This window comes from Homo sapiens, chromosome 8 (assembly GCF_000001405.40).
Source record: "Homo sapiens chromosome 8, GRCh38.p14 Primary Assembly".
NCBI classification, from domain to species: Eukaryota; Metazoa; Chordata; class Mammalia; order Primates; family Hominidae; genus Homo; species Homo sapiens.
Window position 1 is genome coordinate 71215972 of NC_000008.11, and position 22056 is coordinate 71238027.

The 22056-nt window shown below is 39.7% G+C and overlaps 1 protein-coding gene across 27 annotated transcripts in view, besides 2 other annotated features; it reads right to left on the reverse strand.

The window, feature by feature from the left end:
- Positions 1-22056, reverse strand: part of EYA1 (EYA transcriptional coactivator and phosphatase 1) — a 350662-nt gene that overhangs the window by 18539 nt on the left and 310067 nt on the right. For all 27 annotated transcript variants that reach the window (XM_047421528.1, NM_001370336.1, XM_011517484.4 and 24 more), the window contains 2 exons: positions 994-1052; positions 721-881 (listed from right to left, as the gene is read on the reverse strand). In XM_047421528.1, the coding sequence (XP_047277484.1) occupies positions 721-881; positions 994-1052 (220 nt within the window). The remainder of the gene's footprint in view (positions 1-720; positions 882-993; positions 1053-22056) is intronic.
- Positions 2346-2967: an enhancer, noted in NCBI's record as "OCT4-NANOG hESC enhancer chr8:72130552-72131173 (GRCh37/hg19 assembly coordinates)". NCBI's record gives its function as "activates a minimal SCP1, AML or CMV promoter by ChIP-STARR-seq in naive H9 embryonic stem cells {active_cell/tissue: H9 hESC(naive)}" and the evidence as "EXISTENCE:reporter gene assay evidence [ECO:0000049][PMID:30033119]".
- Positions 2968-3588: an enhancer, noted in NCBI's record as "OCT4-NANOG hESC enhancer chr8:72131174-72131794 (GRCh37/hg19 assembly coordinates)". NCBI's record gives its function as "activates a minimal SCP1, AML or CMV promoter by ChIP-STARR-seq in naive H9 embryonic stem cells {active_cell/tissue: H9 hESC(naive)}" and the evidence as "EXISTENCE:reporter gene assay evidence [ECO:0000049][PMID:30033119]".

Sequence of the window (22056 nt, forward strand, 5' to 3'; positions counted from 1 at the left end):
ACCTTCTGGCTCCCAGGGTAGGTGTGCAGCATTCACTTGGCCAGTGGAAGTCAGTCTTGGAACTTTTGCTGAATCTATTAGGAAATGATAGATTCCCTCCCCTCATGGATGTGCCAAACTACTGGTAGAGTATAAAGCTGGATCTACTGGTGGTCATTTTGCCACCTCTTGGGAGGGACTGACCTAGAAAGGCCTTTATCCAAAGGAAGGCACAGGCTTCCCCGACAGCATCATTTCAGCATCTGCATATAGCCATGCTGGAAACCAACCTCACCCCTAAACTTTTTATTATTAAGTCACTGTATTTCCTTTTCATGCTAAAGCCATTATGAACCAAAGTCAAAAGATTCAAACTAATCCAAGTATTTACCCTGTAGGAGGAGATTTACAACCCATCTTGTGATTTGGGCAGAGGTGGCTAATTCTTCGAAGGATGCTAATCCTTCCTTGAAAGGACAACTGAATGTCAGAGAGGTCAGGAAACTTGCCCCAGGTCACATCACTAGGTAACAGAGACAGGACTAGACTGGAATAGCCAGGGCAGCTGGCTCCAGTGCAATATTTCTGTCACTAAATCACAGCAGAATAATGGCCAGTGAGATGAAACTGCCCAAATAGAAGCTATTATATTCAAAGCAGTGTGACACAAAAGTGTACAGTACTTTTGGAATTGTATCTGGACTGTCTTAACTTGCTGAGGTACTGGTGGTAATCACTTGCCTCCAACATTATTTTTGTAGGTGTTGTAGATCTCTTTTACCCGTCTGTAGCGGAAGGCCAACTTTCTCATCCAGTCCACACCGCCCCGTACACCAGTTGCCAAACATAAGTTAGCACTGGTTGCTGCAGCAGGAAAGCCATCTGTTCCAAAGTTATATGTGCTATTTATATGCAAGAAAAGCCCAAAGTTAGCCGAACAGAAAGTCCATCTTAATTAGGTAAGTAATTAAACTATAAAAGGGAGATGGTCACTTCACATTCAAGGGTGCTCACCTTAGGTCCTGTCCGTTATCATCTGAAGAAACATCATCTATATGGACTTGGTCACATTCCTAAAATGCAATTAAAATGATACATGTCAATTTTTTAAGAGTACCTAATTTTTTTGTTTTGTTTTGGAAAAACCATACATATTTTTTAAAGCACCTTAATTGGAGGATTTTTCAACTATGTCAATCAGTAGGTGGCAGTCTTGTAAAATTGACATTTTTACCTACTTAGGGTCCTCTCCTGTAAGAAAGAAGCAACATCGTTAAGGACTACTGTTATTCAGCTTCAGAAAACACATTTTTGTGTTTAGAAAGGAAAGTGATTGAAAACAATTAGCATATGTGTTCCATAAACCTCAGGTACCTTAAGCCATCATGCTGCTCAGAGCTGATTCAGTCAGTGCCTAAGCATAACTGAAACCAGACATTTTGGTAAATGTAACATGCTAGAAAAATTAAACCTGATGCTAACTGCCAATGAAATTATGACCTCTGATTGCTGTTGAGCCACACACCAACACAGCCTGAGGCCAGTGTGTTGAGGAGCCCAGACAAAAAATCTGTTACTGGTTTCCATTTATTTGAGAGATGTGAGTTTTATCCTCCCTCTTTCTCTCTCTCTGTGTACGTGTGTGTGTGTGTGTACACATGTGCACGGTAAAAACCATGGGAGACTTTAAAACCTAAATAAAAAGTCAAACCATGTGCTTGTTTGCTGTTTAGTTTTTTTTACATTTTTTGTGTTATTTTTAGCTGTTTTACTATTATTACATATTCACTGGATTTATGAGTTTATTATGGCATAATGTTATTTTGAACAGATCTTATTTTTAAATCCCAAACTGTGTAAACTACTTAGAATAGGAAGCCATGCTTACAGGCTAAAGCTCTATTGGGCCCAGTTAACGTTTCTGCACCTGTTTGCAGATATATCGGAGCACCCATATATCTTAACCACCGTATCCCCAGATGAATTGTGGGAAGAACAGGCACTCAATAAACATTTGTTGAATGAATGAAGGCATATTAATTTGGAGGCAGACAAGGACTCTAGTCCAGAAACTTAACACCCCCACTTGGCTGCTTTCATATTTCAGTCATGTTCCTCTCTTTGCAGTCAGGCTCCAAATACCCCAGAGGCCTTTATTGTACTTATTTCCATTAAAGTTTTAGTTTAAAAATATTATTAAAAGAAATTTCCAGGCGCACATCCTGTATTTTAAAAGGTTCTTTTTGACTGAAGGTCTGGTCATGTTTCAGATAGAGTTAATTTTATAAAATCTAGCCCATCTCTCTAGCACTTAGACTCAACTTCATAACAAAGATGACACTTAGAAAGCACTATAATAATAGAAGGTATATTTTTATGTTGCCGGTCCCTTCTGAACAAACTCTTCTCTCTCCATGGATTTGTGAGGAAGGGAGGAGGAGATAGAAGTGGAAAGAAACTCAAACCAGCTGTTCCTTAACAGAATTAAAATCGTGACCCCCAACCTCTTCTCTAAAGCATCTATTTTCCAGGCAGCCCTCTCCCAGCACGCAGCAAGTTCCAAGGAGGAAAAGACTTTGACCTTGTAACCCTCCCCTGCTCTCCTGAGGTCCATAACCTCAGATAAGAGAAAAGGAAAAGCAAGTCTAGGAGCCCTCACATGCTGACTGTGAATTTAACATTTTAAAAACAGGTCATTCTTGGAAAACGTGGTTGGGAACTTCTCATTTATTAATGTAATCTTATTTTAGAAGATGAATGATGATCGCTTGTGTTTTCGACAACATACTAAATCCTGAGTAGAAATTTCTGATATTTAACCAGGAATGTAATTTTTATGTTGTAAAACTTCTTTAGAGCGTGTGGTTAGCGTTGGGGGTGGGGGGAGAGGGGAAGGCCATAGCGCCATGATGGAGAAATTTTCTCTCTTGGGAGAATGAACAAAAAGGAGGAGGAAGTTGAGGAACTAGTAGAAGAGGAAAATGTATGTTCAAAAGAATTTAATTCAAGGAATCAAAACTGACCTGGAATTCCCTGGTTCCCTCTAAGGGTGGAAAGAGTTTTTTGAAAAAGCAGGGTGTTAAGATGCTTTTCTGAAGCGAATTTAGCTGTAAATCCTCATTACTAACAGAGAAGGCAGTTATCCTCTAACAGCTGTGAACGACCCCATTGTTGCTATTGTTCTTCCACATCCTGTATTTGTTTTCTCCTGCCAGCTTCATTTAAAACGTTTTGTTCCCAGGCTGAGGACTTCATTTGAAGTATTGTTCAATCTCTAGCTTAGCTCTTAGTGTCAACACCTTCAAGCTTTTACCTGCAGATAGCAAACTCACTTCACAGTGACTTGATTAAAGCAAAGTTCGGAGTAGTGACAAGGAAATCCTCATTCCTCATCAGAATTTCTGTAGAATGATTTTAATTAAAAGAGATTTAAAAATCAAGAGTAATCTCTAAGGGGCCTCATCAGCACCTCCAGGAATGAAAAAAAAATCATTAAAATGTCTATGTAAAATGTGTCTATGTAATTGTTGCTTATTTCACTTAATGAATAGAAAAATACTATATTGTACAAACTTCAAATACATAAAATACATACTGAGGGTTCATTATCTGTGTCTTTGTAGGAACTTACAAATAATGACATAAAATGCCTTGGGAGGTATGTTTTTAAAAAATTGTTTTAAATCTTAAGGAGAAACTATAATATTGCTATCTAAATGCTTACTTATTAACATTTTAATTCATGAAAGAATGAGGAATATTAAGATACTGCAATATTCCACAGCAGAACTGCACAATGTGTTAACCTGTTGTAAGTCCAGCAGCTCTCAAATGAGAAACTGAAGTCTCCCATCAGATATCCTGAAACTCAGCCTCTTCTGTGGGGAGAAACTTTCCTTCTACCATTTCTCAGACACCATCTATCTAGCTTTTTGTCTTCCTAAGAGCCAAATTTTAGGTTGTCATTTTTGCCTTCTGGACTAGGTTGTTTTTAGCTTCCAAATTTGTTTAAAACCCAGACAATGAGATAACTGAGGGAGGGTGCAGGGCCTGATTTCAGAGTCCATGGCTTAGGCAGAAGGGGCTCTGGGCACCGTGAACCAACAGCAGCAACCTGGTTTAAAGCTCTCCTGGAAGAATCTACTGACAAAGACAAAAATGGAAGCTTAATATATTTCCAGGTGCCAATATATATTCCTAAAAACCCTAATTTGGTGTTCAGTAGAGTACAGAACATACATAATTCTATGGGAAAATAAGTTTTTATTCCAAAAACAGACTAAACGTGCTGAAACTGTACTTTTGAAATACACGACCAAAATTATGTGATAGACTTTTAAGGTGATGAAATCATTATTGAATCCAAATCTTGGGACAGCATTCACATTTCTAGGGGCCACTCCAGTTCAGCATATTTTATGCGCTAATCTGTAGTGGAAGGGTCTGAGATGCCCAGGGGATCCCTGCTGTGTTTGGGGATCTGGCCTGGGACCTCAGAGAAGACAGAGATAGTGATTTCAAGGACTCCTGAAAGATTTTGCACTCACAGTAAACTAATGGGTATCTTAGCTTAGAAAGGTGGTCATTCATGTACGTGTCAAATTATTGAGAGGCTGCTGTGTTCCAGGTAGTGTTTCAGATGCTAATGATACAGCGCTTAATACAACAGACAAAAGTCCTTACTGCCTTGAAACTAACATTCTAGTTAGTCACAAACGAGAAAATATGTAAAATGTACATATGCTGGATAGTGGTAAGTGCTAAGGAAACAAAAAAGTAGATGAGGGAGAAATGCAATGCCAAGTGGGTGTGAGGGAAAGAGTTTTCCAGGCAAATAAAAGAGCAAGTTCAAAGGCCCTGAGGCAGGAGAACACTGGTGTAAGGAGGTAGGAGGAAGGAGCCAGGAGAGGGCAGAGGAGGAGAAGAGTTCCCTGTGCCTGCAGATCCCAGCAAGGAGCAGGCTTTGCCAAGGAAGCAGTGGTCAAGTTATCAGTCCTTGCCCTCAAGGCACTTACATGGTTATGGGGGAAAGAGAGAAGTTAACTAACTACACGTGATAATTAAAATCATGGTAAATCCTGCAGAACTTCCCTAGGATCCAAATGAACATCGTCCTACATTCTATTTAGCCAGAGAGAGTTGCAAAGGTCTGAAGAATTAAAATTATATTTTGGTACATCAGGAGGGACAGCCTGGTCCACCGCTTGTCCTTGTGGCTTTTGTGATTGAAACAATCAAACCGATAAAATGGTGGCCTACTGGAGATGGTTCCTAACAACTGAACTGTGGTGACAGGAACAAAACAGCTTATTGGTCCCAGACTATCCATGCTGGACCTCTACCTTCAAATGGCAGTGAGGTGGGGTGGGATGGGGCGGGGAAGGTACAAAGGAACCCCGGGGGCTTAGTGACCAGGCCTCAGAGAGGTGAGGGGAAGCCTTTGAAGACATGTTTCTTTCACCCCCAAGTCACAGATGTGAGAACTGATATGGGAGTTGGAAAGGGATCAAGACGTGGGAAGAGAGTAATTTTTTGTTAATGGCTTTCCCAAAGGGATGAAAAATTCAACATGTTTGCATAAGGGCTCAGAAACAAGTCAGCAGTAGAGGAATATATAATAAACATTTCTATTTAGCCAATTTTCACATACAGGTAGTTAGCCATGAGCCGGGGCAGGAGAGGGCTCTTCGCCACCCACTAGGAATGTCGGGTGATGGTCTGGCAATTATCACATTGTCTCTCTAAAAGTGATAAATTGGCAGCCAATGCCAGGGAGAGGCCATTTCCTGATGGTCCACACCTGTTGCACTAAATGTTAACTGAATGCAGGCACCAGGGTCCCTGGGCATGCACATTAAGAGACCTAATGGCAGAGTATGACCTTCTGGGGGCACTCCACTGGAAAAGGGAAGAAAGCCTCAGATAGACATGCGTGCAGCTTCCTAAACACACTGCACAGGCTCAGTTCCCAAGGGTAAGGGGGGCAATGCACATGCCGGCAGCCCACCCTAAGGGAAGATGCATGGGAACGGGGCGAGCATATAAAGTCCTAGGATCAAGGTTAAACACCGCACTTGACCAAGATGCCTGCTTGGGTCTCTTCCAAGTGCAGTTTCCTTTTTTCTTGTTCTAAAGCCTTTTTCAGAAAACTTCCACTCCTGCTCTGAAATTTGCCTCAGTCTCTCTTTCTGCCTCATGCCCCCCAGTTGAATTCTTTCTTCTGAGGAGGTAAGAATTGAGGTTGCTGCAGACCATAGGGATTCACTGCTGGTAACTCGGATACCTTCCACTGGTAACATATTTGGTGCCGTGTGACTCAGGTATTTGCCACTGGTAACAGTCACATAGTACAGATAGATTATGTGGAAGAACTAGGGCCAGTGCAAGAGGCAAAGTTGCGATTATCCTCCACTAGAAAAATTTTACAATTAATTACCAAACTTGGGTATTGCTAACGCATCCAGCCCGCTGTTCCCAGTCAGAGGTTGGTCTCTCTCTTCAGAAGTCCCAAGACACCAGAGATTCATCATCCCTTGATACCTGACTACCAAAGCACCACATCTTGGCACTTTGTATCCCTCGTAGAGGATATTCTTCCTTCCCCCACAGCAATAGCTTCTGCAGAAGGCATTCCTTACACTTATTGTGGAGTTCCTGCAGAGGCAGGTGCTCAGTTTCTCTCACTTACACAGACTCCTAGTTCTTAAGTTGAATTTATGGTGAAAATGCAATAGTATTTAATGTTACAACCCATTTTACAGATATGAAAAATAAAGATTCAGAAAAGCTAAATAATGTGAGATAAATGCTGCGATGCTGATGTCTTTGACCCTCAACTCGCCGTTTCTTCCCAGGCTCCTCAATTTCACACAGTGTAGACAACTGCTCCCTCTAGACACTGGTCACGACCTAGGTTCTTAGAGGCTTCTCAGTTGTTTTGAGTTTAGGGGACTCCAGCTCTGTCTGCCCCACTCTGACCTGTGCTCTGTGTCCGTGGTCATGGACCCCTCTTCCTGCCTGGAGCATGGATGTGGGTCCTTCATCCTACAGCACAAGCCCCAACGCTTCATGTCATCAGCAGGCCTTTAAATGACTGGTACTTCAGAGGAAAATGCTCCCAGAAGGAGAGCCACTGTAGTAACCGGGTCTCTGCCAGGCGTGGAGGGTAGAGAGTACAACTGTAGGTGGTGAAAGCATAGGTTTTAGCATATCACACTGCCACAGCGTGTCCTAAGTAGGAGAGCTGAGGACCAGGAAAACGGATTAGGCCACCGTCATGGCAGGGGAAGCTGAAAAGAGGGCAGATGGCACCAGTCAGAGGTGCGGTGTTGTGCCCACAGTTACCAGCCTGCAAACCTCTGCTTTTCCACAACAGGATCCTACAAGCATCTTTCAGTAAATACCAAAATTGAAATGACCATGGTCTACCCTTGCCAGCCTTCCCCTTATATGACACCACCTGTGCTTCACAGAGGAGTAAAATAAATAAAGTTAGCTTCAGTTACTGCTGGCCCTCAGCTAACAGTCATCTAACTACTCATGGAGCTGGATTATAAAATGCTCACATGGGTGGCTGGGGAAACTGCCAACACATGAAGTCCTGAATCCCAGTTCTGGTGTAGGTATAGGGAGTGGGCAGAAAGCCACATGGGGCACGATCTCACAGCCATGCGGCAAATGCACATTCGCTCTTGGAACTCTGGTTGCACTGTTATTCTGCCTTTTTAGTCCCTTCTGTCATTATTCTTGGCATCAAGACTCAAGCTGACCTTTTTCTGATCCATCATCATCTCTGGCCTTCTAGGGCTGGGCCACAGACATGTTCTTTTGGACCAATCCCCGGGAATAACTCAGATTTTGTACAGAGGCTCATATGCAAAATATTAAGTTATGGCAGAATTTTTCTGCAAATATTTATTCTGCTTTGATACTGTAGTAGTTGTACTTTCCCCCCAAGCCTTTCACTTGTACCATAATTATGTAAAAATACACCATACAATTCAAGGTAGTTTTGGAAAATTAATAAAGAGAATTAAGACAGTTACAATGAGTCTTATTATCTGTGCCAACAGTGACGTAATAGCTAGGACACTGATGCTGTATACTTCTGAACATGAAACTAGAAACACAAACTCAGAGTAAACCTGAAGTCCTTGAATAAACAGAGAAGGAAGTCTCTAGGAAGACTGTGAGGCAGTTTGCATGTTATAAAAGGGAATAATATGAAAAAGTTACAATGTGTCTTTGGAGAAGTTGAGTTACACAAGTCCAAATCCTGCTGATCAAGGCTATAGTATGCTCCATGTTCCAAATTTACCATGAGAAAACTAACACCATACTGCCAACTAATTGTTTCAATACTTTCAATACTTCCTTTTACAAAACAAAAATGGAAGGATAAAAGTCAGCAGAGAACTAGCTGTTTTCATTGTGTCTTTACATCAATGTGCCTATTGAGACCAGCTGGAGCTGGCCAAGGCAGAGGAAGTGATCATTGGGTTCTGTGTCCCCTCTTATCTGTCATTAAGTGATTACATCCATGGCTCTGACTTCCCTATTGAGCAATTTAGATACTTGCCTGATATTTGACATCTATAGGTCACTAAAAGAAGTATTCCTCTTATTTCTAAATGTGAAAATGTTTATTTATACATGGGACATGGGTAGTTCTAGTACTTTAGTGACAAACTCACATAAATTGTCTGAAAGCTAATTTTGTCAAGCCATTAGCAGCACTTGAAAAAGAATGCATATCTGTCTGTGGATCTATCCAGACTACCATCTTTCTCACAGAAAACTAAATTACACAGATGGCCTTACAGGGTGACCAGTGTTTGAGTGACAAAGGTCTTAAGGGAATGCTCTCCATGGTGGTTTTTCGAAATAACTCTCAACTCTCCAGATATTTTCATAACTAATTTGAAAAACTAAGTGAAATGGGACATCTTCTAAACTTCTCTATGATTTAGAAGTTCTACAGAGGGAGAGGAGTAGTCAAGGAAGAAGCCAATTGATGGAACAGATTTGAAGAAACTGGCTTCCAACTAGCTGACAATTTGATTTGGTACATCAAGTGTAGGCTCCGTGATAAAGACCCTCTGTCCATGAATTAGTAAATTTGCAGGAACCATGTTTTTACTTGCGTGTTTTTCTCTGTAAAGAGGAGACTGCCCAACTGATGTACTGTGTATTTATACTTACTGATGCAGAACAGCATGATTCCATTGTGCTTTCTAAGGGCACGTCCAAGCCCTCACTGTGCTTTCAAATAGACCTCATGAAGAGCTCAAGCGCTGCTAGGCTTTCTTCTGCCCAGCTTCACCAGCATCATGGACTCTCTGGAAGCCCTTGACTCCTGGAGATGGGGAGGGTATGTGGTTTGTAGCCTCTCCACACTGGCAATCGCTGGCAGACCCTGTCATCTCTGTCTAGGGTACACCTGGTGACCTCCTATTTCCCTGGCCTTCACACCATGATGCTTCCTTGCAGAAAAAGAAAAAAATGGTGCAGATACCTGTGGCTAAGGCACAGGGGATAAAAAACAAAAGGAGTTTTGAAATTTGCCCCATTCTGTTTGGCAGTTTTGGGAAGTGCAAGTCAAGGAATTAAGACACACCTGGACAAATATATCTTTTAATTCCCACTCTAAACTATCTACTCAGCATACTATTGGTGCCAACCGATATTTTAAGTCAATATTTAAATATCTATATGTGTTATGGTAGGAATAGGATGACACAACTATACAAGCCGATGGGAAAAGAAAACAATTTCAAATTTCAGAAACCAAAAAGAGGAATTTCAGCATCTATTTTCGAGAGGTGGCAATAAGATGCAACTTGTGGACACACATATGGCATTTACAAACAAAAACAGTGTCTTAATATACTTAATGTTATAATATCCTTTAGAGATTATCTAAGTGAGAGAGATTTTACTAGAATTATGTTTATATTAGCTAGGAGACCTAAGTGCTTGTATTAGAAACACAAGATTTGAATTACAGAAGTTTCAACAAAGGTAAGGTATTAGCTATTTTGATCTGATTCTATTTATTAATATTCATAAAATATTTAGAGAACAAAGTCTTTACTGAAAGTTCCTGAAGATGGTATGTTAAGGTAAAAAATAAATTGAAGTGCTTAAGCTATGTGCTGGTATATGCATAAAATTATGGTAAATATTTGAGATCACTAAGTAAAGGCTTCCAGGATGCCCAAACTTATTAATAACTAGAAGATTGCATGAACACATGTTTTTCAAAGTTTTGATATTTTCTTATAATATTAATCCCTTTTAAAATGTGCTAATTAAAAAAAATAAGACATCATTATATCACTTTAGCGTGTGGCTTACAGAATCCCAAAGGTATCACATGAAGATAGCTCCTTCTTAGTGAGTACAATGTTAATAAATATGATATGTCAGTTTCACTGTGCGTGGAGTTCCTTCTTTCTCACCATGAATGCCTTCTTTACCACATGATATTAAATATATTTGTCACCATGAATGCCTTCTTTACCACATGATATTAAATATATTTGTCTTTATTCACACTCTCAACCTTAGGGTGAGGAAAAGAAAGTCTCACTTAATGAAAGCCAGAAAGAATTGAAAATAAACTTTTAAACAAAATGAGCTTATTTAAAACTGTTCAACACTGAGTCTCTAAAGGTAATGGATTAATCCATTAACTAATCCATTACCTTAGTGACTCAGTGTTGAACAGTTTTAATATAAGGATAATTAAAAGATAATAGCATATATTACATTTGATCTAATGATATCAATACTTGTAAATTTCTTTGCTTTTTTAAAAGTATACAATAAATACTATCTCGTACAAGATCCGTCTTTTATTAAGTTATGTTTTATGCAATAGTAAGAGGTATTTCAATGCATTCTATGTCCCTACCGCTGACATTGTACACAAAAGGTTATGTCCAAATGCACAGCTTTATTTATGGTTCAGTTAATTTAAGAGAACATAGAATTTTACAAATTTGTATCATAACCAGTGCAAACCTTCATATACCACACAGGGCAATGCATTAGTGTTTGCTGACAATGCCAAATTATATTGTACAATTTTATCATTAAAATATTACACATATTTAAAATGGTATATAACAAAGTATGAAGATAAAAGACTAAAGGCTGAATTAATGTGTAAGCTAATTATCATTCAGAACATTAAAAAAACTCAGCACACATCTAATATAAATATCATTTTTTTTTGGAACAGCAACTCAGAACTACTCTTAAGAATGAGCCTTTGATTTACTGCTGAACTTATTTCTCAATTTTCAACGGGCTTGCTCATCATTTTTGCAAACATAATTTGTCACTGGCAACAGTGTTCTTTGTAACTCCTGTTTCCTTTCTTTTAGATCTATTATTCCTGCTGAGAGAATCTACTAAAGAAGAATTTTTCATAGTGACAGCAACTCTAGGCTTGCTGTGAATAATCACAATGTCATAAAAATCATTCTTTTTATTGCAAACTTGCTGCCAGAAGCATGGAAAAATATTCAGACCGAGAGAACTTTCATCCTTTTCTGCAACGGCTTTCTTTTAACTTTCATGGCCATTTGCAGAAAGTGAATCGCATACCAATTTATTCACAAAGCATTTAACTAGAGCTTTCATTTGCACAAAAATATTTGTTTCGCTCATATAAAACAATGAACTATAAGCTCCAATATTAAATAGGTCATACATTATTTTTTTTTCTGGAGCAATTTCCCACTCCTCCTAAAATCATTTGCAACAAATATTAGTTTCTGTTTAATGCCATTACATGTCTATAGATTCATCTTTAACTACAAACTATATGTCAATGCATTTTGTAAAGAAATATTTTCTTGTAATTAACCTTTTTAAATGTCTTTTTCTTTTGCAGGGGTGAGAGTGGGGTTGAAATTTTGAAGTTTAAAAGAGGCTAATTTATGAACTTCAGTTAACTTATACTGCTAGATAATTTTCTAATAGTAAGAAACACTCAATTTTGCATAAAAGAACATACAGCTCAGAATAAATCAGGCCCAATCATATCCTTAGTTAATAAGTTAATAAAGATTTTTCCAAGCTGATTTTCTCTGCCATGTAATTATTACTGACTCCAGAAAGAAAAATATGCAGAACCGGACATAGGCACTTTTTAAAAAGCAGTTCCCTGTGAGCTGCAGGAAGGGTTCCATCATCACCTCCCTCACTGTCAGACCCTGGCGGCGAGGAGAGGACCTTGGAGGGGCACTTTCCTACTCAAAAAATTCTCTCCTCTAAGTATCCGTGGGTCTGAAATTCCACCACACAAAATCATCCCTTCTGAATCTTCTTTTGTAAGACAAAGACTTCAGGTAAGAGTGAACTATTTAAGCTCCATTGCCTTGGTGTGAACTGCACTATGAGATAAATTTCTTCCAGCATGGGGAGCCCTGGTGTGCCTGCCCCCAAATCATTGGGTGTTAAAAGGGGAAATGGAGTTGGCTGCCCGAAAGGAAAAAAAAAAGGGAAAGTTTTGTCTATACTCATAATTTCACTCCCTATAAAAACATCCCTCTTCTCAAGAAGTATAATTTAGAGCTATAAATAATCATGCTTTGGTTGTTTATATGTTATTCAGGAAAATATTATGTATCATTAGAATAGCATGAGTATTATGTGTGTTATATATTAAACTGTAGCAGTGTCACTAGAAAATACATAACCACATGTTCTCGATTCTTTCATTCATTTTCTCATGCATTCAACTAATAAGGACTGAACACCTATGTCTATTCCAGGCACCACACACACAAAAATAAATGAGATGCAGATCTTGCCTTTACGGTTTTAAACATGGGGACTGGCTAGAGAGAAAGGGTACAGTGACTGTCACTATGATTTTCTGTCAGGGAAGGTACTAGATTCTTGTAAAGCCCTTCCTCTTCCAACCCACCCTGGGCAGCACGTTCAGATACATTTTTCTGAAAGTAGGTTTTGCTGTTCCAGGCAAGGCAGTCTCCAACAAAGAGCAAAAGCATCTAGCGGGAGGGGAGACAGGGAATATGTTTTACTTCTGTTTTAGTCCATCTCCCTCAATAGATGTATTAGAAAAATTAAATTGGAAACACTTAATATATTTCTATGCAATTGAGCATTCAAGGGCCTCTATAATGAGCCCTAACCTTACCAATGTGCCCATCCCTCACATTCTATCATGAACAGCCTGCCTCCCTGCACCAGACAATAGCTGTGTCTACTGCTTGCTGGAATGCCTTCTCTCTCCCTCAAGGCAGTGCTCCTCCATTAAGTTTTTATTGGTTTCTTTCCCTTCTCCATCCCTGACATACTCTCTGCAACCCACAGTCTCAATAATAACTACCATTATTGACAGACTACAGTCTTTGTGTCATGTGTATTTCACGTTCTTTCCAATTCTCCTGAAAACTCTGCATTTGATGAATAAGCAAAGACTTACACAGACAACTTCTGTGTACACTACCAGATAAGAAACTCTTTGAAGAAAAGACCATCTTTCACGTGTCTTTTTTTCCTACTTATTTTCTAACGCTGGACCAAACACATAGATATCATGGACTGAAACCTTCTAGGTTATCTGATTGACAGGATTTGATTATGAAAGAATTGATGACCCAATCAGTTAATAGATAATGTTAGTGCATTTTGTCATTGAAGTTAGTTTTGTGGAAATAAATAATTTTGATTATAAAATGACACATACTCATGTAGAAAATTTGTGCAGTACTAAAAAACGTATAAAAGAATTCATCTCCAATTCCATCCCTCAGAAGTAACCACTGTAACATTCTTCTAGTCCAAGCTGTTTCCTACCAATTGAAAAGGATGATATCTTGGACAGAAGAGTTCCCTTTAACTTTCTGACAAAATACCAATTCCAGAAGTTAATTCTTAGTTGATTATTTCTGAAGAGGCAAAAGATTATAAAATAATGTTGATCAAAAGCAACATGCTCTCCCCATACCCCGACCGTCCACCTGCCTTACAAAGGAGTAGCACACAATTAGCAGTGAGAAGGATCCAGCATTTAGAAAGCCTTTCTTTAGAAATGCTGCTAGAATACTGAACTGAGCCCAAATAGAGGCCCTATTGTAGCTGCACTGAAATGGGAGAAGTCTCCAGGGACTGCAACTTAAACACATTTTGGGGAAGTTGAAGTTACAGGCATACAGGCCTTCTCTTGCACTATTCAACCTTAAAAAATAAAAAAAAAAGGTCTAAGGGCACCTTGAATTCCTTTCTCTACTAAGCAAACTTCCTATGAAGGTAACTGAGGAAAATCTGGCTCTACAAAGCAGTGACTCTCTCCCAGATTGAAGATTAGCAAGCACCTGTCAAAATCCAAGATCTAAACCAAAAGCCTGTCATAGGTGACACTGACAGGTCCATTTCACACGACTTTAAAATAAACTGAAGCAATCCAGCAGACTGTGTGAGTGCTGAAGTGGTATTTCCATTCAACAAGAAAGGAAGACACTCTGTTATTCGCTGAGGCACCACTATGCTGCAGGCACCGGCCAGGAGCTCCAGATTCTGTTGTCTCCCTTAACTCCACACCTACCTGTCACCCTCTCTGAAGCCAGTCAGGGTTGACTGTGTGGAGGCCATACATTAGCAGGAAGCTAGGACTGAACCCAGGTCTCTCCACCTCTGAAGTGTTTACTGTCCCTTCAGACCACACTGTTCCTGGTAGCTTCACCCAACAGAATAGAGAAACTATGGCGAAACTAGGAAAGCAGTTTCATGAACAGGTTAATTAACAGCCTGTTGGAATAACTGCTGCTCCAAATGGCCACAGTTGCCTCACATAAATCATTTAATTTTCTGAATCTGGAATTTTCAATACATATTTGGATTCTGTGTTTCTAAACTAAGACATAACTCTTCTTTTTCATTCAATATATTCTTCCTGGGAAATCTTAACTGATGTCAGAAATGATGGCTTCCAGCTTCTGTTTTCTGAGCTGCAGATCTGTGCATACACCTGCTCACTGGACTCCACTTGTGTGTCCAACACACACTTCAGGTTCAATATCTCAAATCTGAATTCAGCATCTTCCTTCCAGAGCCAGACCATTCTCCTGGGTTTTCTATCTCTACCTTATTGCTCAAGCCAGAAACTAAGAGACTGGCTCACTGAATAGTTACACGGAATAGATCTGCAAATCCTACCCAGACTACTTTCTCAGTAGCTTTCACATCAGCCCCTGTTCTCTGTCTCCACAAACAAATGCCACTGATTTCTCATCATTATTGACCCCTTTGACTTTACAATACAACTCATCTCCTTGGTAGTGCTATAAGTTCTTTACTGGTTACCCTCGGCATCCATTGTAAAATCCAATTCCCTTAGCAGAGTGTGCAAAACCTTTGATGACATGGCTTCTGTCTTTCTTTCCATTTTCTCATCTCACAAGCACTCTCTGTGTGTTCTGTGCTTTATACCTACACAGGCTCTGTTCCTAAATGTCATGCTTTCTCAAGCTCAATGTTTCTTCCTGGGGAAGTCACTGCTCCAACACTCTGCCTTGCCACCTCTCCCCAATCTGGGATAGCCATCCCATCTCTCAGACTCTAGCTAATGACCACAGACATCTCCATCATTGCTGTGATGGAATTATTCTTTCACTTTTCTGTCTCTACCCAGTATCTGGGCTCCTTGACAGCAAAGAATGTGTTTCATATTTTATCCTCAGTGCCTAGCTAGTGTCCAGAATAGAGTGAGCATGAGGACATTCAGCGCAAAGTAGCTCTTTTTAGTCTGTGATGTAGGGACTGCTCCAATATTATTTTATCGTTGTTCATTACAACAACATGTCTTTCTGTCCACTCTCTATCTATTGACCTACCTCTCAACATTTCCAAAATAGATTTTAAGTTGCCTGGGCAACTATGGCTTGCAGGTTTGTAAGACACAGTGAGAAAGAAAGCTTTCAAAGAATACAGTCAAGAAAGCCCCATCCAGTTATTAGGCCCCGCTCCATAGCATCCTTGTGTGACAGCAGCAAGGTGTTATTGACTTCCTTTCCTTTGCTAAAAAGGAATAGCCAGGTTCTCTGACTTGGCTAGAAAGGTTTTGTGCAATGATGTTTGCAAAAGAAAACCTGAGTTTCAACCTCAGCTTTACCATCACCTAACCAAGTGGCTTTGGGCAACAACCACCTCCCTTCAATTTCCCACATGTGTAAACTGCAGATAATAAGATTGAATTCACAGTGTTGATGGAGTCAGTGCTTTTGTACTGACATGAGAAAAGTTTCCCAAAGGACTGCTGCCCCCTGCCTCCTACTTCACTAAGGACGCCCAGCAGCCTGCACTGTCAGTCCAAGCGGCCTGAGAAGGGGAGGCTCTGCTCCACAGTGACTTCACACCCAGCCAGGCTCCGCTGCATGCCGTGACACCACCAGCAAGTTCCATGAGCCATCCTTCAAAACATGAGGTAGGAAGACAACGAGTAAAAGGACATTTATCAGCACAACCAAGGAAACGTGTCTTTTTACACGAAGCCAGCATCCTCATTTTCTATGAGGGACAGCACACTGTGACGGGAACCAGATACAGTAGCTACTTAACTGCCAACAGCACACCTCCCGGCATGCAACTGGGGGTGGGAGGAGCCCATGAATAAGGATGGACCCAAAGAAGTATTCTGTGATCTACCTGGAGCAGGGGCATTTGCCACTGACAGATGTTTTTTCTTTTTTCTTTTCTTTTTTTTTTTTGGTGTGTCTGGTGTGATTTCTGTTGGAATTCTACAAGAGAATTTGGCAGCAAACCACTTATTTTCTCATGCCCTTCATTCCCTCGTCCCTCCTTAAGTCACTTTCCCTTCGTCCCCTACAGCCTTACAGGGCTTGACCCAGCATTCTGCATGTAGAAGACACTCAATGGACAATAACAGCAGCATAGACTTCCTTAGTGCTTCCTGCGAGCCAGTGCTAGTTGTATGCACTTAACAGATTTTAACTCACGCAATTCTCACACTGACCCGATGAGGTATATCATCATCCAGTTTTACAGATGGGAAATTGAGGCATAAAGGGGGCCCTCACGAATGAATGAATTCACCAGTTCCACCTCTGGTGTCTCTAGAACTGCAAGCTAACAAACCACATAAACAACACTGGGCTTTGAGTCAGGCTGGAATAAGAGAGCCATGATTACATTCAGCATTTTCCTAATTATAAGAAACATTACATATAGAAAGTAAAAACAGAAAATTTCTCTTATCCTACTATCTAGAGATAAATCAGTGTTTATTGTTGAAATTATTTCTGTATCATTTTAAATATAGAAAGCCTTTGTTTTCTGCCGGGTGCGGTGGCTCATGCCTGTAATCCCAGCACTTTGGGAGGCCAAGGCGGGCAGATCACGAGGTCAGGAGATCGAGACCATCCTGGCTAACACAGTGAAACCCCGTCTCTACTAAAAACACAAAAAATTAGTTGGGCGTGGTGGTGGGCGCCTGTATTCCCAGCTACTCAGGAGGCTGAGGCAGGAGAATGGCATGAACCTGGGAGGCAGAGCTTGCAGTGAGCCGAGATTGTGCCACTGCACTCCATCCTGGGCGACAGAGTGAGACTCCGTCTCAAAAAAAAAAAAAAAAGAAAAAAAAGAAAGCCTTTGTTTTCTTTTGATATACATACCTTTGTTTTTTAATCCCCAAACTGGAACCACGCTGCATATCATTTTATAACATACCTCTTCTATGTATATTGTGTCTTGACATTAAGGATTTTGAAAATCTGACTTAACGTAATATGAAAGTCTAATATCTTGGGTGTTTTAATTGTTAAGATTGAGATTAATCTTCATTTACTTTTAAAAGTTAACTTTTCTAAATAATAAAGGTAATGCTCATCATTGACTACTATTAGAAAAATTTGAAAATAAGTAATTAAAGAAAACATATGAGAGCCTTCCATGTACCAAATCTTGTGTCAGGAGCTCAGGATTTAAGTGGACAAATCCTGATTCCTGGCCTCAAGGGATTTCCCAGTGGGGGGTAGACCGAGGTATGCAGAAAATCTTAATAAAGTGCAGTAAATATTTTTATAGCAAGAACCAGCTCCTTTGATCATGACCAAATCCCCACTCCTGGACTGCACTGTACCTGCAGACTCTACCTGCCTTCTTATCTAAGACCCACCATGTAACCTGTGCTCCGGATTTCATTCTGTCTTGCTATCCAAGGACTTCTTTCCTGTAGTCATTCTCCTTGCCATACCACATGTATTTTCCTTCCTATGGAATCATTCCTGCTGACATCCAGACATGCCTAAATATCTTTTATTTAAAAATGAAACCACCTTCCCTTGATTCCATGATGCCTTCCACACACCATAGCCCATCTCTTTGTGTCTGTCTCTGTGGGAATTCTTGATCCTTTCTGTCTTCACTGTCAGCCCTCATCCTCTTCTCAACCCATTCCCATCTGGCTGATGTCTTCCACTTCATTGACATGGTGCTTATCAGGGTCATTAACAGCCAACATTCTTGCCCAATCTAACAGTCGCTCACTTCTCTGTCCTCATCTTACTTGACTTTGGCCACATTTGACACAGGAGTATACCACTCCCTCCTTCTTGAAACACTATTCTCCAGGTTTCTGTGATAGCTCATACTTTTCCACCTACCTTGTGGAATTCTCTCTACCATACAATTCTCTCTTCAAAGCTCTTCTTCTTGGCCCTATTTCTAATTGTTGGTACCAAAATGCTCAATCTTAGGCCCCCTTCTCAATTTTTCATTCCTTCCCCTGTGCCATCTAGTTTTATGGCGTCGGGACTCCCAAAACTATACCTTCAAATTTGCCTCTCTCTTCTGAGATCCAAACCTGTATGTCTACCTGCTTATATGTCATCTCTTGACTTGGATGTTGAATATGTATTTCATACTTAATACACTCAATACAGAATGCTTGAATCCAACTCCTCCCCAGCCACCCCCCAAACACACTCTTCTTCAGAAGTGTGATCACTTTTCCAGTACTCAAGGCAAAACCTAGTGCTCATCCTTGATTCTGCTTTCCCTCCCCACCTACGTCTGATCCATTAGCAAATTCTGCCCATATTTCCATAAAAGGATACTGTAAGTCCTGTGACTTCTCACCACATCCAGACTGCTATATCCTCAGCCCTAAGCTAATGTCCTCCTAGGCTGGCTGAGACAGTCTCTTAATTGGTCTCATTGGTTTCACTCTTGCCCCGATTCCATTTGATAACCAGACTGATGTTTTAAAAGTGTAAACACTATTCTATCATGTCCATGCTTAAAACTCTCCAATGGCTTCGCACTGCAATTAGAAAAAAAATATTCTTTACCATGGTCTACAAGACCCTTCATCATCTGGACCCTGCCGCTCTTCCCTAGTTACTCTGTCTCAGCCACACTGGGCATCTTTCACTTCCTGAAGGAGTGAAACTCATTCCTACTATTGTCCTCCCAAAATGACTTCCTACCATATCCTTGCAGTTGCTTCCCTCCCAGCTTCTCCCTTCTTGACAAATGTTACCTCCTCAGAGACATCTCTTCCTGATCATCTCAGCTAACAATGCCCCACTCCAATTCATCCCTTAGCCAATACTGCTTGATTTGCTTCATAGCACTTATCTCTGCCTGCAAGTGTTTTGTTTACATACTGTTTATTCCTACTTCTCTTCCACAGCACTAACTCCATAAGGAGAATGTCCTTAATAAAGTCATTGCTGTATCCCCAGTAGTTAGAACTGTGCCTAGGTACTTAATGGTTATTCAATAAATAGGTATTGAATATTGAATGACGGAAAGAAATGACAAAGTCTAAAAAGACTACTGGATGCGATAGCATGTCGGTTCTGAAACATCACAGAAATATAGCATTTATAGCCCCAACACCCAGAAATAACCACTGGCAACTTGTAAATATTACCTTTAATATGTCATAGACATTAAATCAGGATTATATACTATCATTCATTTTGTAGACTGATCACTTTTAAACTTGAAAATATATCGTCGTGGCTTTTAAAAAATGTATTCCCTTCCAGTTTTTCTTTAGTATGCCATACGTGTTGAATACAAATTTTACTCTTTATTTTATTTTTTTGAAATAGTCTCACTCTGTCACTCAGGCTGGAGTGCAGTGGCACAATCTTGGCTCACTGCAACCTCCACCTCCGGGTTTGATTCTCCTGCCTCAGCATCCCGAGTAGCTGGGATTACAGGTACACGCCATCACGCCCAGCTAATTTTTGTATTTTTAGTAGAGATGGGGTTTCACCGTGTTGGTCAGACGGGTTTCAAACTCCCGATCCCAAGTGATCTGCCTGCCCCAGACTCCCTAAGTGCTGAGATTAAGGCATGAGCCACAGCACCTGGCCGAATTTTACACTTTTTAAATATGCCATACATGTTGAAGAGGTATGACATGTTGAATAGGCTAGATTGTATCTTAGAGCTAATTTTTAAAACTTGAAATCGACCATGAATACCTTCCCTATATACAATAAATTGTCTTAAAACAAGTTTTATGAGGATGTATTTTAATTTATTTCATTTTTAATCTGTTATTGGATATTTAAAATATTTCTCTATTGTAGTGGTAAAAAAACCATGGGGGGTGGGTATATTATGGGGTTGAGTGGATTTCTGGAAAGTGTCAGACCTGAGCTAGAATCTGCCACTCTACAGTTGTGTGACCTTAGACAAGTTTTCTTTTACCTATCCTAAGCTTCACCTGGCTCCTCCATAAAATTAAGATATTAATAGTGTTACTATAGTAGAGATATCATGCTGTTAAATGGAATAATGTATGTAAAAGATATAGGACAAGTGTTTGACAAATGCTTATTGCTATTATCTTAATTATCTGTAATTCTATTTTCTTAGAAGTGATGCTAAAAGTGGAATTTTGAGTAAAAGGATCAGCACATCAAAGTTCTGAATACATATTATGAAACTGCTTTTCTGAAAACTTGTATCCCTTTATATCCTTACCAGCAATGTACACAAGTTTTCATCTTACTGCATTGTAGATCATGTTATTTATTTTAAACCTTTGCCTATTTCATGTGCAAGAGGCTGTTTGACTTGACATTTCTTTTCTTTTTTTTTTTTGAGATGGAGTCTCACTCCGTCACCAGGCTGGAGTGCAGTGGCATGATCTCGGCTTACTGCAACCTCCGCCTCCCGGGTTCAAGGGATTCTCCTGCCTCAGCCTCCAGAGTAACTGGGATTACAGGCTCACACTACCATGCCCAACTAATTTTGGTATTTTTAGTAGAGATGGGGTCTCACCATGATGGCCAGGCTGGTCTCAAACTCCTGACCTCGTGATCCGCCCTGATTGATTATTAGAAGTGAAATCCAACATTTTTCGTCTGTAGCTTGATAATTTGAATGCTTTTCTCTTGTGAATTATCTGTTCATGGTCTTTGCTCATTTCTTCTGTTGAGCTATTTCTTTACCTATTTCTTAATGAATTGCAGTAATCTTAGTTCTTTGATTGGTTATATTTGGCTCAGTTGTGTCTTTAATATTATCTGTGGCTTTTAAAAATAGTATTTGTCTCTGACTACAGAAGAAATAAGCATATGCTTTACAGAATTTGGGACATACAGAAAAGCATAAATAAAAAAATAATAAAACCACAAATTCCATAAACAATCAATGTTAAACTTCTACGATTTATATTTCCATAAGACAGTCAACATATATTTCCATTATTTATGCAATATATATTTACTGGGTCCTCCTATGGGCCAGGTCCTGTGCTAGAGAAATTAGCAGTGAATATATTATACATAGGGTATACATTTTATAATAGAATTGTGAGCCAACAATATGTGTGTATATTCCTCAAATATTAGTTTTTAAAAATTAACTTTTTATTAAACAAATATTACAGCTCAATGAATTTCTATAAACTAAATGCATGGGTATAACTAACACCCAGATGAAGAAACAAAATATGATGGATTTCATAAGTTAGAAATGTTTATTGTTATAAATTCTTGCCTTTATCTCTGATTAGTAAAAAGTCCTAGATGTATAATTGGTACAAATGGTATTAAC